Raw genomic sequence first — 16,578 nt, 5'->3', positions numbered from 1 at the left:
AACCCTGCTCAAAATAAACTCTTTCAAGAGCTCGGTGAAAGTGTTTCTCACAGAAACCATGGAGAAGGTACAGTCTATGCCACAAATGGGAGCTATCTGTATTTTTAAAAAGTATTAAGTAAAATTGACTTTTAAAAAGCACTTACATGTATATACACATACCCATTACCATATCAGGATACACACCAGTTCTATCAGTCCATAAGCCTCCCTAGCACTGTTCCTTTATAGTCTCATCCTAATCCCACACATAGCAGCTGACAATCATAAATACTCTTTCCATTTGTATATTTTGGCCTTTTGGAAAATGTAGAAATGGAATCATACAGTATGTAACTTTTTGAGATCAGCTTCTTTTGCTTAGCATAATGCCTTAAGATTTACCCAAGTTGGCTGGGAGCGGTGGCTCACGCCTGTAATCCCAGCACCTTGGGAGGCCGAGGAGGACGGATCACGAGGTCAGGAGATCGAGACCATCCTGGCTAACACGATGAAACCCTGTCTCTACTAAAAATACAAAAAATTAGCCGGGCGTGGTGGCGGGCGCCTGTAGTCCCAGCTACTCGGAAGGCTGAGCCAGGAAAATGGCGCGAACCCGGGAGGCGGAGCTTGCAGTGAGCCTAAATCGCGCTGCTGCACTCCAACCTGGGCTACAGAGCAAGACACCGTCTCAAAAAAAAGAAATAAATGAAGATTTTCCCAAGTTGTTACAAATATCAAAATTTCATTCCTTTTTGCTCTTGAATAGAATTCCATTGCACGGATGTACCACAGTTTATCCACTCATTGAAGGACATTTGTGTTGTGTGACATTTGTTTCCAGTTTGGGGCAATTGTGAAAAAAAAAGTTGCATTTCATAATGGCTAATGATGTCAAACATTTTTTGTGTGCTTATTTGCCATCCTTATACTCTGTTTGGTAAAGTGTTTATGCCTTTACCCAATTTTTATTGGGTTGTTTTCTTATTGCTGAGTTTTAAGGATTCTTTATATATTCTAGATAAAATTTCTCTATCAGATACATGACTTACAAATATTTTCTGCCAGTCTTTATTTTTTTCAATGTCTTAACAGTTTCTTTTGCAGAGCAAATGTGTTAAAAGTTGATTAAGTCCAATGTATTTTTTTTTCTTTTTTGGAAAGTGCCATATCTAAGAACTCATCACCCAACTCAAGGTCATGTGGATATTCTGTTATGTTTTCTTTTAACAGTTTTATAGTTTTATGTTTACATTTGCATATATGATCAATTTTTTAGTTAATTTTTGTATAAATTGTTAGATTTATGTTAGGATATCTTTTCTTTCTTCCTTCCACTTTTCCTTCACTTCTTTCTTCCACGCCTTCCTTACTTTTTTTCCTTCCTTTCTTTCTCTCCTTTTCTCTCCTTTCTTTCTTTCCTTTGCATATGGATAGCCCATTGTCCCAATATTATTTGTTGAACAATTTTAATTTCTTCATTTATTTTATTTGCACCTTTGTCAAAAATCAATTCGCCATATTTGTGTAAATTTATTTCTGGAATCTCTGTTCTGATCAATTGATCTACATGTTTATATTTCTGCCAATACTTTACTATCTTGATTACTGAAGTTGGTATTAAATCTGAAAATCAGGTAATGTGATTATTCACTGCATTTTTTCAAAATTGATTTAGCTATTCTAATTCTTTCATCTATCCATATAAAGTTTAGAATCAGCTTTTCTCTATCTCCAAAAAATTCTACTGGAATTTTGATAGCAATTGCATTACATCTATACTCAATTTGGGGAGAACATATAGGATAATTCTGGTGTTCTTTTTCCATCCTTACACTCTTTTGTTTACTCTTTTATTATCAGAGTCTTCAAATAGTTATTTCATGCATTCTGCCCATAACTTATAGTTGTGTTTGATAGGAGAAAAAATGTAAAACACACTTCATCTCACCTGGAAATAGTAACTTGGGGTACTATCTTTTTATGATAATGAAACAAGATCTCCTAGAAATAAAGAATAAAGTAGCAGGGGAAAAGAAAAACATTTAATGAAAAATTTGGAAGTTACAGTTTAGAACTACTTCAAAAACAGTAGGAAAACATCAAAGATGGAAAATAGTAGTGGAAAGAAAATTGAACAACCCATTCCAGAGATTCAATATCATCTCATTACTGGGAGTTCCAGCAAGACAAAGGAAAAATGGAGGATAATTTTACCAAGAAATATAAGAAAAATTCTCAGAACTGAAGGACTTGAAGATCTAGACGGGAAGGATTGCCCTTTATGACTAACGCTTTTAGCATCAAGTCTAGAAAATATTTCCTTGGGTCAAAGTCATAAAGATATTCCCCGATGTTGTATTCTACAAGCTTTGTTTGCTTACTTTTATATTCAGATCTACAGTCAATCTGGAAATGGCTTAGAGGATAATGTGAAAGAGGTAAATTTAATTTTTTTCCTTGTAGATAATTATCTGATCACTTTTTTTTTCTTTTAGATATTCACCATTTATTCAAAGACTGGATTCTACGTCGTGGTATTGTCTATCTTTGGGCAATGTCATGTTTTTAAAAATTATGTTACCTTTCTATCTTTCTGTTTGGTAAAGTAAGTCTGCTAACTTTGCTTTCCTTTTTCAAGATGAGTTAGGCTACTTTAGTCCTTTTCACTTCCATATTATTTTTTAATGAGTTTATCAATCTCTTTCCAAAAACCTGATATTATTGTTACTAAAAATGCAGGGGAAATGGGGACTTATTGGTTAACAGGTATAGGGAAGATGTAAAAATTTCTGGAGATAGATGGTGGGGATGGCTGCACAATAATGCAACATACTTAATGCCACTTAACTGTACACTTACAAACGGTTAAAGTTATAACTTTTATGTTTTGTGTATTTTATCACAATAAAAATCAAAAAAGATAAAAAGATGGCCACTTTATTGACGTTGTTGATCATCTCTATTTCGTATTAATGTCTGTTGTTTGCATTAATAATGCATTAATATCTGCTCTTTGCCTCATTATTTCTTTCTCTAAAATTCTCTTGGGAGTAAATTATTGATTGGTCACTAATTTCATGTAATACATGCTTAGATCACTAATCTTATTTTATTTATATACTATAGTATTTAAGGATTTCTTAGTGCATTTCTAGCTGCATACTACATATTTTGATATGTACTATTTTTATTATCATTTATTTCAAAATAGGTCCTAATTTTGATGGATATTTTTTCTTTAAACCATGAATTATTTAGAAGTGTTTTTATCATTTTGCAAATAAATACAATTTTTAATTTTTATGTTTTGATTTCTGACACAGTTTTATTGCTGTGAAATAATAGCATGTATCTAACCCTGTTATGTTTTTGGAGCATTGCTTTATGGTCCGGTAAAATGTCAAATTTGAGATAATTCGATGTATGTTTGAAAAAAGTTTGAATCCTGAAGTCGATATGTGCACTGTTCTCTATATATGTATGTTATATGAACTGCATTATTTTGCTTTACAGTTATTTTCCATTTATGCTTTTATTAGTTTTTCAGAGAGGCATATTACACTAAAATATTACACTATAATTGTGGTTTTATCTGCTCCTCCTTTTACTTCCATGAACTCCTGGATTTTTTTTTTCTCCATCTCTTTTTTTTTTTTTTGAGATTGAGTCTCGCTCTGTTGCCCAGGCTGGAGTGCAGCGGCGCGATTTTGCCCAGGTTGGAGTGCAGTGACACTATCTCGGCTCACTGCAACCTCCGCCTCCTGGATTCAAGGGATTCTCCTGTCTCAGCCTCCTGAGTAGCTGGGATTACAGGCGTGCGCCAGCACGCCCGGCTAATTTTTGTGTTTTTAGTAGAGACGGGGTTTCACCATTTTGGTCAGGCTGGTCTCGAATTCCTGACCTCGTGATCCGCCCGCCTCGGCCTCCCAAAGTATTGGGATTACAGGCGTGAGCCACCGTGCCCGGCCTCTTCATCTCTTTATGTCCTAGAAGCCAGAAATTCTGGATGGAGAATGACTTATGTAACAGCTATAATTTGGAAATCCCGGACACTACCTCCAAATGAGCAACTGCAATAAGAAAAGCCTAGGAGAAAAAAATCTTGAGTTCAATTTTTACAGGCTTTAGAATATCCACTGGGACTTTAAATAAATACTGTTACTTAGACATACTTTTACATGTTTCCTTCCTCAAAACAAATTATGAAAATATAATTCAAATACAATTTATCTTATGAGAAACTCTGGATGATGCTGAGTAGAAGTTGCAGTAAAGGTTCCAATCAAACCCTGCTTTAAAATGAGCCTCGTTCTTTTTTTTTTTTTTTTTTTTTTTTTTTGAGACTGAGTCTCGCTATGTCGCCCAGGCTGGAGTGCAGTGGCGCGATCTCAGCTCACTGCAAGCTCCGCCTCTTGGATTCACGCCATTCCCCTGCCTCAGCCTTCCGAGTAGCTGGGACTACAGGCTCCCACCAACACGCCCGGCTAAGAGCCTCGTTCTTAACCTAGCTGACTCCACCTGACCTAGAAATGGCTGTCTATAGTCTCCCAAAATTGTATCATCATAACCTCTCCGAGACCAGGGAGACACAGGGAACCGGTTTGACCAGAATTATAGCTTCATGCGTGGGTGCAGATTTGCCTCCAATTTACAATATTGAGGTTAGTGAATCACGCAGCCTCAATTTAAAGAGTTTTTTTTTTAGCAGCTTTATGCTTAATTTCACTTGAGTAATTTTTTTTCTTAACTGTTACAACTAGTTTTCCTGATAGAGAGAAGGCCAAATTTAAATAATTCTCAGTCGATCGCACGGAACCTTCAATTATTTTGTGAATTCCCTGGAATCAAGATATTAAAGGTTGTTTTCCTAGAGGCAATAAACCTGATAACTCACCTATGTGGAGAAAAATATCCCGTGTCTGAAATTGAGTAGAGTTGCAGATAAGACATGAGTTCTCCAAGACTTAATTTCCCCGTTTTTATGGGGGACTAGAAGCGTCCACTTAATCTAGCTTTTAAGCATTAAATTGCAGAAAGCATAGAAGAAGTTCGGTCCAGTTCAGGTACGTATAAAAGTCGCTCAATTTTTCTTAATGAAGAAAGCAAGGCTCAGGACCACCAAGTTTCTGAGTTAATTGAGGGTTAGGGGAAAGGGAGACTTTATGGATCAATGTAATCGGCAAAAATAAATAAATAGATCCCCCAGGGTTTTCTTTGAAAGGGTGTTCTGAGTGGGCATAAACTAAGGATTTTTGCTTTGATACATTAAATGCGTTTAGTAGAATGCCTATAACCCAGCATGAGCAATATTTGGGTGAAGCGTACCAAGAGGGGTTCCATGGTGTAATGGTTAGCACTCTGGACTCTGAATCCAGCGATCCGAGTTCAAGTCTCGGTGGAACCTGCTCGAAGATATATGTATATATCCTCTTCCTGGACCTTTTGTTTTCCCCAGGGAAAACGCTCTCTACATAAATTACCAAAATCAATTTTCGGCCTGATATATTCCATGAATTCCTACAACTCCCGATAGCACACTTGATCTTAGTCAAACGGCCTAGAAGCTATGCAAGTCCCAATATATCTGCCTCTGGGTAAGGAGGCGGAATAGAATCCACTTTCCGGGATCACAGCTCACTACAGCCTCGACCTCCCCAGGCTCAGGTGATCTCAGGTAGCTAGGACGACAGGTGCGCCCCACCACAGCAGCGAAATTTTTGTTTGTTTGTTTTTTGGAGGGAGACAGGGTTTTCGCTGTTATGCCCAGGATGGTCTCGAACTCCTGGGCTCAGGCTATCCTTCCGCTTCTATCTCCCAAAGTACTGGGATTACAGGAGTGAGCCATCGGGCCCGTCCTGAAGGGATTGTTTCTTTCAATAATTTGTGAAGTCCACGGAAACATTTTGTCCCCTGAACATGATGGAGGAAGTAGGAAGTGCTGATAAACAGAATCTGCTCTTTGGGTCTTTATGCAGGAGAGCAGAGATTTTAATTACTACGAATGCAAAATCTGGGCAACTTTGTAATTCTTTCCTTTGTAGAGTTGTTTTTCTTTTCTTTTTTTTTTTTTTGTCGTTGTTGTTTTTACCTCACTTACTTCTAATATATGCAGCATAAGTACAATTTCTCTCCATCTCTGTGGCGAAGATAGTCTTTTACCTTTCTGTCAAACCAGTCGTACTGTGCATCCAAATGCTGTTGGCTGAAAAAGTATTTTTTGCTATCAGGCTTTAGTGTTCAGTAGCTTAAATGGTCTAATGTTGGCAAGCTCTTTATAAACTGTTAAGAAACACCCTACTCAAAAACAGACAAACTCCCGTAGACTGATGAGCGGTACGCCCTGCATCAAAGTATCGTATGCAAATCTGTGATTATTGGCAGTGTCATCTCTGAGAAACAGATAAATAAAGTTTATTTACGATAGATAGATAGATAGATAGATGGATAGATAGATAGATAGATAACTCAAGCGTCAAACACCCCATGGGCAGCAATATTACACCCCAGGCTAAACCCAGCGGCTTAAATCATACCACTTTGTGGACTCATTACCAGTAGAGACAGGATGAAGTCAGAATAGTGAACCAACTCTGAATGATAGGAGGTAGGTGGTGTTAATTCCCAGTACAGGTAGAAGACTGAGACGCCTGTTGGGTGCCGGGGTCTTGGAGCCAAAATCAAGAGATGAATTCAAGTTACAACTTACTGCCCTCTCGCTGTGAGACCTTGGCCATATGTATATGCCTGTGGACCTTCCAGTCTGTATAATGACTATGTTGTGAGGATTTACAAATTATAAGCCATGTAAAGACCTTGATGGTGATGTGTAGTAAGTACTTGAAAAATATGACCTGCTATTTATCCGTTTTGGGTACTAATAAATCTAACCCTGAATCTGCTAACAACTTGATAATTTGGGGGGTGCCCCCAGTGGAATTTACAAAACTTGAATTCACGACCCCATCTGGAAGTCCTCAGTTAAAATATCATTTCATTGTGCAGCATTGGGTAGTTTCTTCATCTGTAAAATGCAGATAAAAATATGCTGTTGGTGCTTAACTCATATCTTGGAACGTACTAAGTATTTAATGAAAATTACCTGTTAGTGGTAAAGCTTTTTGTGAATCCTGACTTCTTTTGAGTTGACAGTAGTTATGAGTATACCAAGGCGCTATTTGGTGCAGGAGAGGCTGAAGTCTTGCTGGCTGTGATCACAGGGATATATACCAGTTTTGAAGTAACGGCAACATAAGGTAGTCTCCATTCACTGAGTAAAGAGGATATTATCTGAATATGCAGTGGGAGGATTGTGTAGGAGAGCAGCAAATGGAGTACAAGAATTTGGGTAAGTTTTGAGGAAAGGCGGGAACTGCACCTGGTAAAACCGTAGTCGGCAGGATTCGAACCTGCGCGGGGAAACCCCAATGGATTTCAAGTCCATCGCCTTAACCACTCGGCCACGACTACCTACCTACGCCATCGCTGACGGCTGGGGTGAACTTATAATGGTTGAGTGGAGCGCTCGGAAATAGTTGGTCTTCAGTCTCGTCAGGGCCTCTGCTCACGAACGAAAGAGCTCATTCAGAGCACATCAATAACCAGAACATAGTGCATAGTGTTGCAATTCAACACAGGACTCCTAGACAAGCGACTCAAAGTTTCTGGGCGCTGGAGCTTGCCCGCTAGCTGCTGAAATCCGCGGACACCACGTTCACACCTAATTCTCACGAACCCGCAGAAAGGGAGTATTGAATTGAGAGTCCAAGCAACCTCAAGCCTCTGAATACCCATGGGAGAAGCAACGGGAATTAAATGAAGGCACGAGAGTGGGGGGTCATCTGCGTTTACGTACAGTTAAAATCTAAATCAGGAGCTTCTTCGATGACATTCAACTGACTTACTCTTCCGAAGGAACGGCTAAAACCGGACTGGAGCGGGCGTGCTAGCTGAGGAGGGAGCTTGTTTCTGTCCTAACTGGAAAAGATGACTCTGAAGAGGTCTCTGACTCTTCAGGTAAATATAATTCCCGTCAGTTCTGGTGAAGGACGCGAGACCATTCCCAAGAGCCAAGGCCTTCAGCCACCCGAGCCCGGGGAAAAGGAAGAACTCAGAACACAGGTTTCCAAATATCTTAGGGAGAGTCCAGCACAGAAAAACGCAAAAAGATGGAAACAAGTAAATGTCAGGATAAATCTAGCTAAATTAATAAGGTTGATTCTTGCTTCAGATACTACAGTATTGTCAGAGTGGAAAAATAAGGGGTAGACTTGAATCAGATTCCTTTTTAGACAAAAGTTAGGGGGAAAGTCTCGGAATTCTGGGAATGGAAGTGAGTCGGCCCCGCAGATACAAAGGGAAAGTGACCTCCATGACCGAGGCCGGCAATGTCTCTGATAGTGAAAGCGCGCCCACATTTGTTTTTCCCTCTAAAATAGTAAGAAATGTGTTCCCTTCGTTGGACTCTTGCAAATATTATTTGGTCTTATTACTGGGGCATTTGCTATATCTTCAATTTAGGTTAGAAACGGTTTGTAACCTTTGAAACAGTAAATTTATTTTCAAGTTATTTGTCCCTGGGCAGTCTTCGCAAAGTTTTGTCCTCTTACAGCAGCTTGTGCACCACCTGGGAACTTAGGAGAAATGCAAATTCTTGGGCTTGAACTCAGATCTCAGAATCAGAAACTGGAGTGGTGTGGTTCGTGTGGGGGGCGGGCGGGGCGCGGGGGAAGAGGAGGGTGTCTAGCAGTCTGTTTTAACAAGCCATCCTTCCGGTCGCGGAGGCTCACGCCTGTAATCCCAGCACTTTGGGAGGCTAAGGCGGGTGGATCATGAGGTCAGGAGATCGAGACCATCCTGGCTAACATGATGGAACCCCGTCTCTAATAAAAATACAAAAAAATTAGCCGGGCGTGGCGGCACGCGCCTGTAGTCCCAGCTACTAGGGAGGCTGAGGTAGGAGAATCTCTTGAACCTGGGAGGCGGAGGTTGCAGTGAGCCAAGATCGCGCCACTGCACTCTAGCCTGGGAGACAGAGTGAGACTCCATCTCAAAAAACAAACAAACAAACAAAAAACAAGTCATCCTGCTGGTACTGATGCCCACTGAAGTTTCAGAACCGCTCTCCTAGAGAAATAATCTTTTTATTTGTTTGTTTGTTTTATATTTTATAAATAGAAATGCGGCGCCTCACTGTGTTGACCAGCCTGGTCTTAAACTCCTTGTTCAAACCCCTGGTCTCAAGCCATTCTTCCATCTCCGCCTCCCAAAGTTCTGGGATTACAGGTGTGAGCCACTGCACCCAGCCAGGAAATAAGCTTAACCAAAGGAAGACATATACTATGCAGGAATCTTTATTTTTATTTCTAATTGTGATAGTGAAAAATAGATATTAAAATGAGAGTTGTTTATTATTATTATTGCTCCATCTGCCTAATAGGTCATTACCAAGCCACTAGAAACGACATGCTGGAAGACTGTAATAGTTCTGGGAAAATGCTTGTGACATAATGTTCACTGACAAAAGTAGGAGGCAATAAGCGTGACTTAATCTACGCAAAATTTTTGCAGGTAAAATCCTGCGGTGAACTCATAATGGATGCGTGGAGCGCTGAGAAGCAGTTGGTCTTCACAGTCTCGTGCAGGTCTCTCCTCATGAGTGAAAGAGCTCTTTCAGAACACAACAAGAACCAGAATATTGCACTTAGTGTTGCAATTCAATACAGGACTCCTAGACAAGCGACTCAAAGTTCCTGGGCGCTGGAGCTTGCCCACTAGCCACTGATATCCGCGGACATCACGTTCACACCTAATTCTCACGAACCCGCAGAAAAGGAGTATTGAATTGAGAGTCCAAGCAACCTCAAGTCTGTAAATGCCAATGGGAGAAGCAACGGGAAATAAGGGAACGCATGAGAGTGGGGAGTCATCTGCATTTAAGCACAATTAATATCTAAATCAGGAGCCTCTTCGATGGCGTTCAACTGACTTGCTCTTCCAAAAGAACGGCTAAAACTGGACTGGCGCGGGCTTGCGAGGTGAGGAGGGGGGCTCGTTTCTATCCTAACTGGAAAAGATGACTCTGGAGAGGTCTCCGACTCTTCAGCCAAACATGATTCCCGTAAGTTCTGGTGAAGGACGCGAGACCATTCCCAAGAGCCAAAGCCTCCAGCCACTCTAGCCCAGGGAAAGGGAGGAATTCAGAACACAGGTTTCCAAAAATCTTAAGGAGAGTCCAGCACAGAAAAATGCAAAAAGATGAAAACACATAAATGTCAGGATAAATCTAGGTAAATTAATAAGGTTGATTCTTGCTTCAGATACTACAAAATGGTTAGGATCAGCTAATTTTCCCCCAGTTGCATATTTCATATTTGTGGAGTACTCCTCCTTAAAAGGTAACATCCTGGTACATAGAGAAATGACAGTTTGGCTTACTGACAAATATTGGATGATGACAATTGCCTCGCCCTTTTAAGGCTTACTGTTGGCATACACTGCTTACCGGTTTAGTTTCATAAATGGATACCTGAGAAACATGTTTAAAATCTTGTTGATTTTGCTCCTGTAGAGCACTTAGAAATAATGCTGAAGGCACAAATAGAGTCCATGAGCAAAGAGCAGTGAACATCATCTAAGAGGTGTAGGTTACTGATCTAAATCTAATTCTCAGGTGCTGTGTAGGTTTGCATTCTCATCTTAGCCCCTCATTTCCTTATTTATGATGTAAAGACTAAGTGAGGCCAAATATATAAATGAGGGTATTTTGCAAAATGTGAGGTCTTATATACATGTCAGTGACTAACATTATTTTGCTAAAAGTATATCCTGGAGTACATTTCACATAAGCATTATAGAAGTGCACCTCATTCCTTTTATCAGTTGCAGAATCTTCCATTCTATGGATCTTCCAAAATTTATTTTAAAAGTCAAACATCAATGGCCATTTGAAGTTGTTCAAATTGTCGCTATAACTCAGAAATTTGCAGCGAATGTTAGAGCGTGTCCCAGTTGTTGCGGGTGTCTCCTGCATCCCCATCCCCTGAAGGAGCAGGAAGCTTGATCTCTGGGAATGCATCCTGCTTAGTCTCCTTCTGTCAGAACGTCAGAATAAGGGGTCCTCCCAGGTCTGAGGATAAAGTGTTACTTGTCAGTTTGAAACAACAGCATGATAATCATCTAACTAATGCCAAAGAATAAGAAACATTGACAGCAAATACAATTTCTGGCAGAAAATTTGACCTTTCCAAGAGAGCTAAAGTTCAGTACAGTGACTTATGCTAATGGGCAAAGCATTCTTTGTGTAGTCGTGGCCGAGTGGTTAAGGCGATGGACTAGAAATCCATTGGGGTTTCCCCGCGCAGGTTCGAATCCTGCCGACTACGATAACGTTTCCCTTTGCAAAAGGGATATAACACCTTATCAGATGGGATATCCTGACTTTGTCTTCCAGGAAGAAGCCTGGTTGTTCCAACCTGATCAGACTTTTTCTCTTTATATGCCCACTAAAAATACTCCGCCACCTTCCTGAAACAATGAGGAAAATGTGTACTTATTTGAAAAAAAAAAAAAAAAAAAGGTAATTCCACCAGAGTCTTACTGGTGTTTTACCCCCAAGAAAAGCCAAGGTGATGCTATCATGTTTCCTGCAATCGATGCCCTGTTTTGAAGGCAGCTTTCCTTAAAAATTGTTGCTAGGAGTGTTTGTGTCTCACAGAATTGTTCCCTTGTTAGGGATCTACTTCAGTAAAGTAAACATCCTCATTCATACAGAAAAGGAAATTCCAGGAAATCCAGGATCAAATACAAGTGAAAGCAAAGACTCAGATATGGTCGCCAAGATGGGAATAACTTGGGCTTTATTAAGCAAACAACTAAGCAATTAAATATATTAAGTAAGGCAATTTTCCTTGAAATCATATAAAAACGAACTGACGACGTCAAGCCAGACTGGCTTGTCCAGGTGTCCAGGACGATGATGAGGCAAGAGGTACTGAAAAGAAAGTGAGGGTGTTACTATATTCAGAGCACGGAAAGATAATCAGCTCAGGTGCAGAATCACATTGTGTGATTAACAACTATGGTTAAATAATGCATTGGAATTATGCATTATAATTAATTATGGTTAAATAATGCAAAGGAATGCTAGCCACAGTTGAGTACTTTTTAAGGAATTCCTAGGGGAATTCTATCACTGCCTTGGAAGCTTAGTGGAGCTCATCCTCACTTCTTGCCTTGCTGCATCTTCTTTTTTATTTGTTAGACCTCCCATTCTCCATTTTCTATATCAGAGATCAGTTACTTGTGCCTTCTTGGATAAACTCAATCAGTTTAGCCAAGCATTTTGCAACTTTATTAGTTATTTTTTTCCAAACTAAATTTTGGCTTTTTTTTTTTTTTTTTTTTTTTTTTTTTTTTTTTTTTTGCTTATCTCCATCTTATGTTTCAATTTTATTGCATTAAATCAGCCATTTTCTTCTTCATTTCCTTCCCTAAGATTTCTTTGGATAAAATTTGCTAATTTCTAATTTCTTTCAATGGATCTCAGATTATTGATGTTCAGATATTATTTTATTATTAATTATGTATTTAAGAGTTTAAGCATCCAAGTGCATTTTGGACTGCATGAAACATATTTCATAAGTATTATTTTCAATGTCATTCTTTTGAATATAATTTTTATTACCATTTAGATATCTTCTTGGAACCATACGCACATTTTCTTTCTTTCTTTCTTTCTTTCTTCCTTCCTTCCTCCCTCCCTCCCTCCCTCCCTCCCTCCCTCCCTCCCTCTCTCTCTCTCTCTCTCTTTCTTTCTTTCTTTCTTTCTTTCTTTCTTTCTTTCTTTTCTTTCTTGTTTTTTTTGAAACGGAGTTTCGCTCTTTTGCTCTTCTTGCCCAGGCTGGAGTGCAATGGCACAATCTCGGCTCACCGCAACCTCTGCCTCCGAGTTCAAGCGATTCTCCTGCCTCAGACTTCCAAGTAGCTGGGATTACAGGCGTGCGCCAGCACACCCTGCTAATTTTGTATTTTTAGTAGAGACGGGGTTTCTCCATGTTGGTCAGGCTGGTCTCGAACTCCTGACCTCAGGTGATCCGTCTGCCCCGGCATACGCAAACTTTTTAACTTCTAAACATAACACAATTTTTGATTTCTAATTGATGTCTAGCAAAATGTACTGTGGCTAGACCCTAGTATTTATCTCTCAGACTGTTCAAATTTTGGAAACTTACTTGAAAATCGGCAAGGCAAAAGTTTTTTTTGTTTTGTTTTGTTTTGTTTTTAGTTCCATGTATACTTCAAAAAGAAACTTGTCTTCGGAAGTTGAGATGCCACTGGGCGCGGTGGCTCATCCCTATAATTCCAACACTTTGGGAGGCTGGAGTGGGCGGATCACTGGAGCCCAGGAGTTCCAGATCAGCTTGGGCAACATAGTGAAAACTCGTCTCTACAAAAAAATTAGCCGGGTATGGTGGCAGGCGCCTGTGTTCCCAGCTACTCCGGAGGCTGAGGCGGGAGGATCACTGAGCCCGGGGAGGTCGAGGCTGCAGTGAGCAGTGATCCCACCACTACACTCCAGCCCGGGCAACAGAGTTAAAAAAAAAAAAAATTGAAGTGTGTAGTGTTCTTCGTATGTAAGTTAGGTAAAATTCAGGAATAGTTTTGTTTAAAACTTTTACATCTTTACTGTTTTCCTTCCCTCTTCTGCTTTTTGATTAGTTTCTGAGGGATATATATTGTGTTAAAATTTCTAAGTATGATTGCGGCTTTATCTGATTCTTTCTTTCTTTCTTTTTTTTTTTTTAGACATTCCGGCTCTGTCGCCCAGGCTGGAGGGCAGTGACGCGATCTCGGCTCGCTGCAAGCTCCGCCTCCCGGGTTCTGGCCATTCTCCTGCCTCAACCTCCCGAGTAGCTGGGACTACAGGCGCCCGCCAGCACGCCTGGCTAATTTTTTGTATTTTTAGTAGAGACGGGGTTTCACCGTGTTAGCCCACCGTGTTAGGATGGTCTCGATTTCCTGACCTCGTGATCCGCCCGCCTCGGCCTTCCAAAGTGTTGGGATTACAGGCGTGAGCCACCGAACCCGGCCTTTTTTTTTTTTTTTTTTAATTTTTACCTTATATATTTTAGGAGTTCCTAAATTTTACCTCGTACAGTTTAGGAGCTTATTTTTTCCCTGTATCTTTTTGTTTTCCAAAGCAACAAGAAATTCTAAACAAAATGCTGCTTATGAAATATTTATAAATCGGCAATGGCAAGTATCACCTTCAAGTGGCACAACAAACAAGATAACACTCAGTGAAAAAATCTGGGCTTAAATTACACAGAATTCAGAATACTCATAAAGTGTTAAGAAAAAGAGCATTACTTTGCTTTTGTCTCCCTCTTGCTTCTTTTCTCAACAAGAAAGGAAAAATATCCTAAATTGAGGGCTTCCTCTGAGTGGAGGTCTCACAGTAAGGGTTGAAAAGGAATTTAATCATCCCTTAACCAGCCAGGTTTTATTTTATTCCCTTCTGCTGGACCTATATATGTGTCATTCTAATGTCCCAAAGGGTAATGCGAGGAACCAGCACTCATAAGCTCCCTCAGAAAAGAGAGAGAAACTCAAAGAACTGGTTTGACTAGGATCTCAGCTTTGGGTGTGTAATTTTGGCCTCCTAATTTACAAGGCTGAGATTAATGAATCATATGGCCACAATTCAAAGGTTTTTTTTTAATTCAATTTTTTTTTTTTTTTTGAGATGGAGTCTTGCTCTGTCGCCCAGGCTGGAGTGCAGTGGCACAATCTCTGCTCACTGCAACCTCCAGCCTCCAGCCTCTTGGGTTCAAGTGATTCTCCTGTGTCAGCCTCCCAAGTAGCTGGGATTACAGATGTGTGCCACCACGCCTGGCTAATTTTTGTATTTTTAGTAGAGACGGAGTTTCGCCATGTTGGCCAGGCTGGTCTTGAACTCCTGACCTCATGTGATCCACCTGCCTCGGCCTAACCAAAGTGCTGGGATTATAGGGGTGAACCACTGCAGCCAGCCTCAAAGGTAATATTTTTAAAGCAGCTTCATGTTTAAGATCATGTTTGGTGATTTTGAACCTTTTAGTTAAATTCAATTATTTGACATGGAAGGAAATTCAAAAGGCAGGTGATTCCCTGCTCAGCATCCATGGTCTTCCACAGTTTTTGTGAACTCCTTGATAATGATTTCTCCAATTGTTTTGTATCAGGGGGCATGTAAAGTGAGAGAGTTCATACCTTTTTTCCTATTTGGCTTGGACTTTTTATTTTTCTTTTTAAAGAGACGGGAGTCTCTCTATTTTGCCCAGGCTGGCCTCCAACTCCTGAGCTCAAGTGATCTTCTTGCCTCAGCCTCCCAAGAAGCTGGAACTATAGAGACATGTAGTACCTTATCTGGCTGTGCCTTGGAATTTTTAAGAATTTAAAAATCTCTTTCCCAATAACTTCATGACCATGAAGTGGAAGAGAGAATTGCCAACTGCTTTTTGTTGTTTTGGGAAATGCATAAAATACATATATGAGAGATGTCTCTAATTGTTACAAAATTCTCTGAGACAGGCCAAGCATCTGTTTCCCCAGTGGCAAAGCTATACTCACTACTATACCAAGGTGAAAAGGGTTATTGGAAATTGCTGTGCTCAGTGCCATGGTCCAAGTATATTTCTGATATTCACAGACCAATGCAGGCACATGCATACCTAAAGCATATGACTTTCCAGGCTTTATCTGAGCCATGCTGCTAATTTCGTTGCTAAACTTAATCTTTCCCTTTTCTTTCATGTTGTGGCCCTCCAGAATTAATCATTCTCCTTTAATGATCAAGGCCCACAAGCATAAATCTTGTACCCGAGAAATGGTAGACTCACACTTTTCCCCAATCAAACTTTCTAATGCTCATCCACCTGGAAATTGCAGTTTTCATTTTTATTTGTGTATTCCACCCTCTTTGTGCCATTATGCTGCTGGCCACAAGCAGTTTCCTTAAACTCTCCCTGTGTGGGCTTGTTTATATTTGTAGAATATTCCTCCTAATAGACACCAATCACCATAAGGTCAGCAACTGTGCTTGTGTTTTGTTTACCTTTGTGTCTATAGCACTAAGCACAACACCTGGCCCACCACAAAAATTTAATATTTTCTACTGTGTGTGTTTGTGTGTGTGTGTGTGTGTGTGTGTGTGAGACAGAGTTTCGCCTTGTCGCCCAGACTGGAGTGCAACGGCGTGATCTGGGCTCACTGCAACCTCCGTCTCCTGAGTTCAAGCAATTCTCCTGCCTCAGCTTCCCAAGTAGCTGGGATTACAGGCGCCCGCCAACACGCCTGGCTAATTTTTTATATTTTTAGTAGAGACGGGAGTTTCACCATGTCGGCCAGGCTGCTCTTGAACTTCTGACCTCAGGTGATCCACCCGTCTTGGCCTCCCAAAGTGCTGGGATTACATGCATGAGCCACTGCGTCCCGCCTGTTTTCTACTATTTATAGAAAGAATGACCTTCTCAGAGCTCCTAATTGAATGTTTAGTTCACAGTAAGAACCTAGTTTAGTATATTGCCTTACTTGAATCTGCTGATTGTTTTAGTCCAA

The 16,578-nt window shown here is 40.2% G+C and overlaps 3 non-coding genes across 3 annotated transcripts, besides 4 other annotated features; 2 read left to right on the top strand and 1 right to left on the bottom strand.

Moving 5' to 3' along the window:
* Positions 1 to 5,314: 5,314 nt before the first annotated feature.
* On the top strand, positions 5,315 to 5,386 carry TRQ-CTG2-1 (tRNA-Gln (anticodon CTG) 2-1). The gene has a single exon. It is a non-coding gene; the product is annotated as a tRNA-Gln (tRNA).
* Positions 7,302 to 7,431: a silencer, noted in NCBI's record as "silent region_17031". NCBI's record gives its function as "represses an Ori minimal core promoter by ATAC-STARR-seq in GM12878 lymphoblastoid cells {active_cell/tissue: GM12878}" and the evidence as "EXISTENCE:reporter gene assay evidence [ECO:0000049][PMID:35858748]".
* On the bottom strand, positions 7,368 to 7,449 carry TRS-TGA2-1 (tRNA-Ser (anticodon TGA) 2-1). The gene has a single exon. It is a non-coding gene; the product is annotated as a tRNA-Ser (tRNA).
* Positions 7,532 to 7,581: an enhancer, noted in NCBI's record as "active region_24292". NCBI's record gives its function as "activates an Ori minimal core promoter by ATAC-STARR-seq in GM12878 lymphoblastoid cells {active_cell/tissue: GM12878}" and the evidence as "EXISTENCE:reporter gene assay evidence [ECO:0000049][PMID:35858748]".
* Positions 7,602 to 7,741: an enhancer, noted in NCBI's record as "active region_24291". NCBI's record gives its function as "activates an Ori minimal core promoter by ATAC-STARR-seq in GM12878 lymphoblastoid cells {active_cell/tissue: GM12878}" and the evidence as "EXISTENCE:reporter gene assay evidence [ECO:0000049][PMID:35858748]".
* Positions 11,255 to 11,304: a silencer, noted in NCBI's record as "silent region_17030". NCBI's record gives its function as "represses an Ori minimal core promoter by ATAC-STARR-seq in GM12878 lymphoblastoid cells {active_cell/tissue: GM12878}" and the evidence as "EXISTENCE:reporter gene assay evidence [ECO:0000049][PMID:35858748]".
* Positions 11,282 to 11,363, top strand: TRS-AGA1-1 (tRNA-Ser (anticodon AGA) 1-1). Its single transcript has one exon. It is a non-coding gene; the product is annotated as a tRNA-Ser (tRNA).

The sequence above is a fragment of the Homo sapiens genome, chromosome 6, assembly GCF_000001405.40.
Source record: "Homo sapiens chromosome 6, GRCh38.p14 Primary Assembly".
Lineage (NCBI taxonomy): Eukaryota > Metazoa > Chordata > Mammalia > Primates > Hominidae > Homo > Homo sapiens.
Note: the sequence above shows the minus strand (reverse complement) of the source record. Positions and strands in the feature narration are given on the sequence as shown.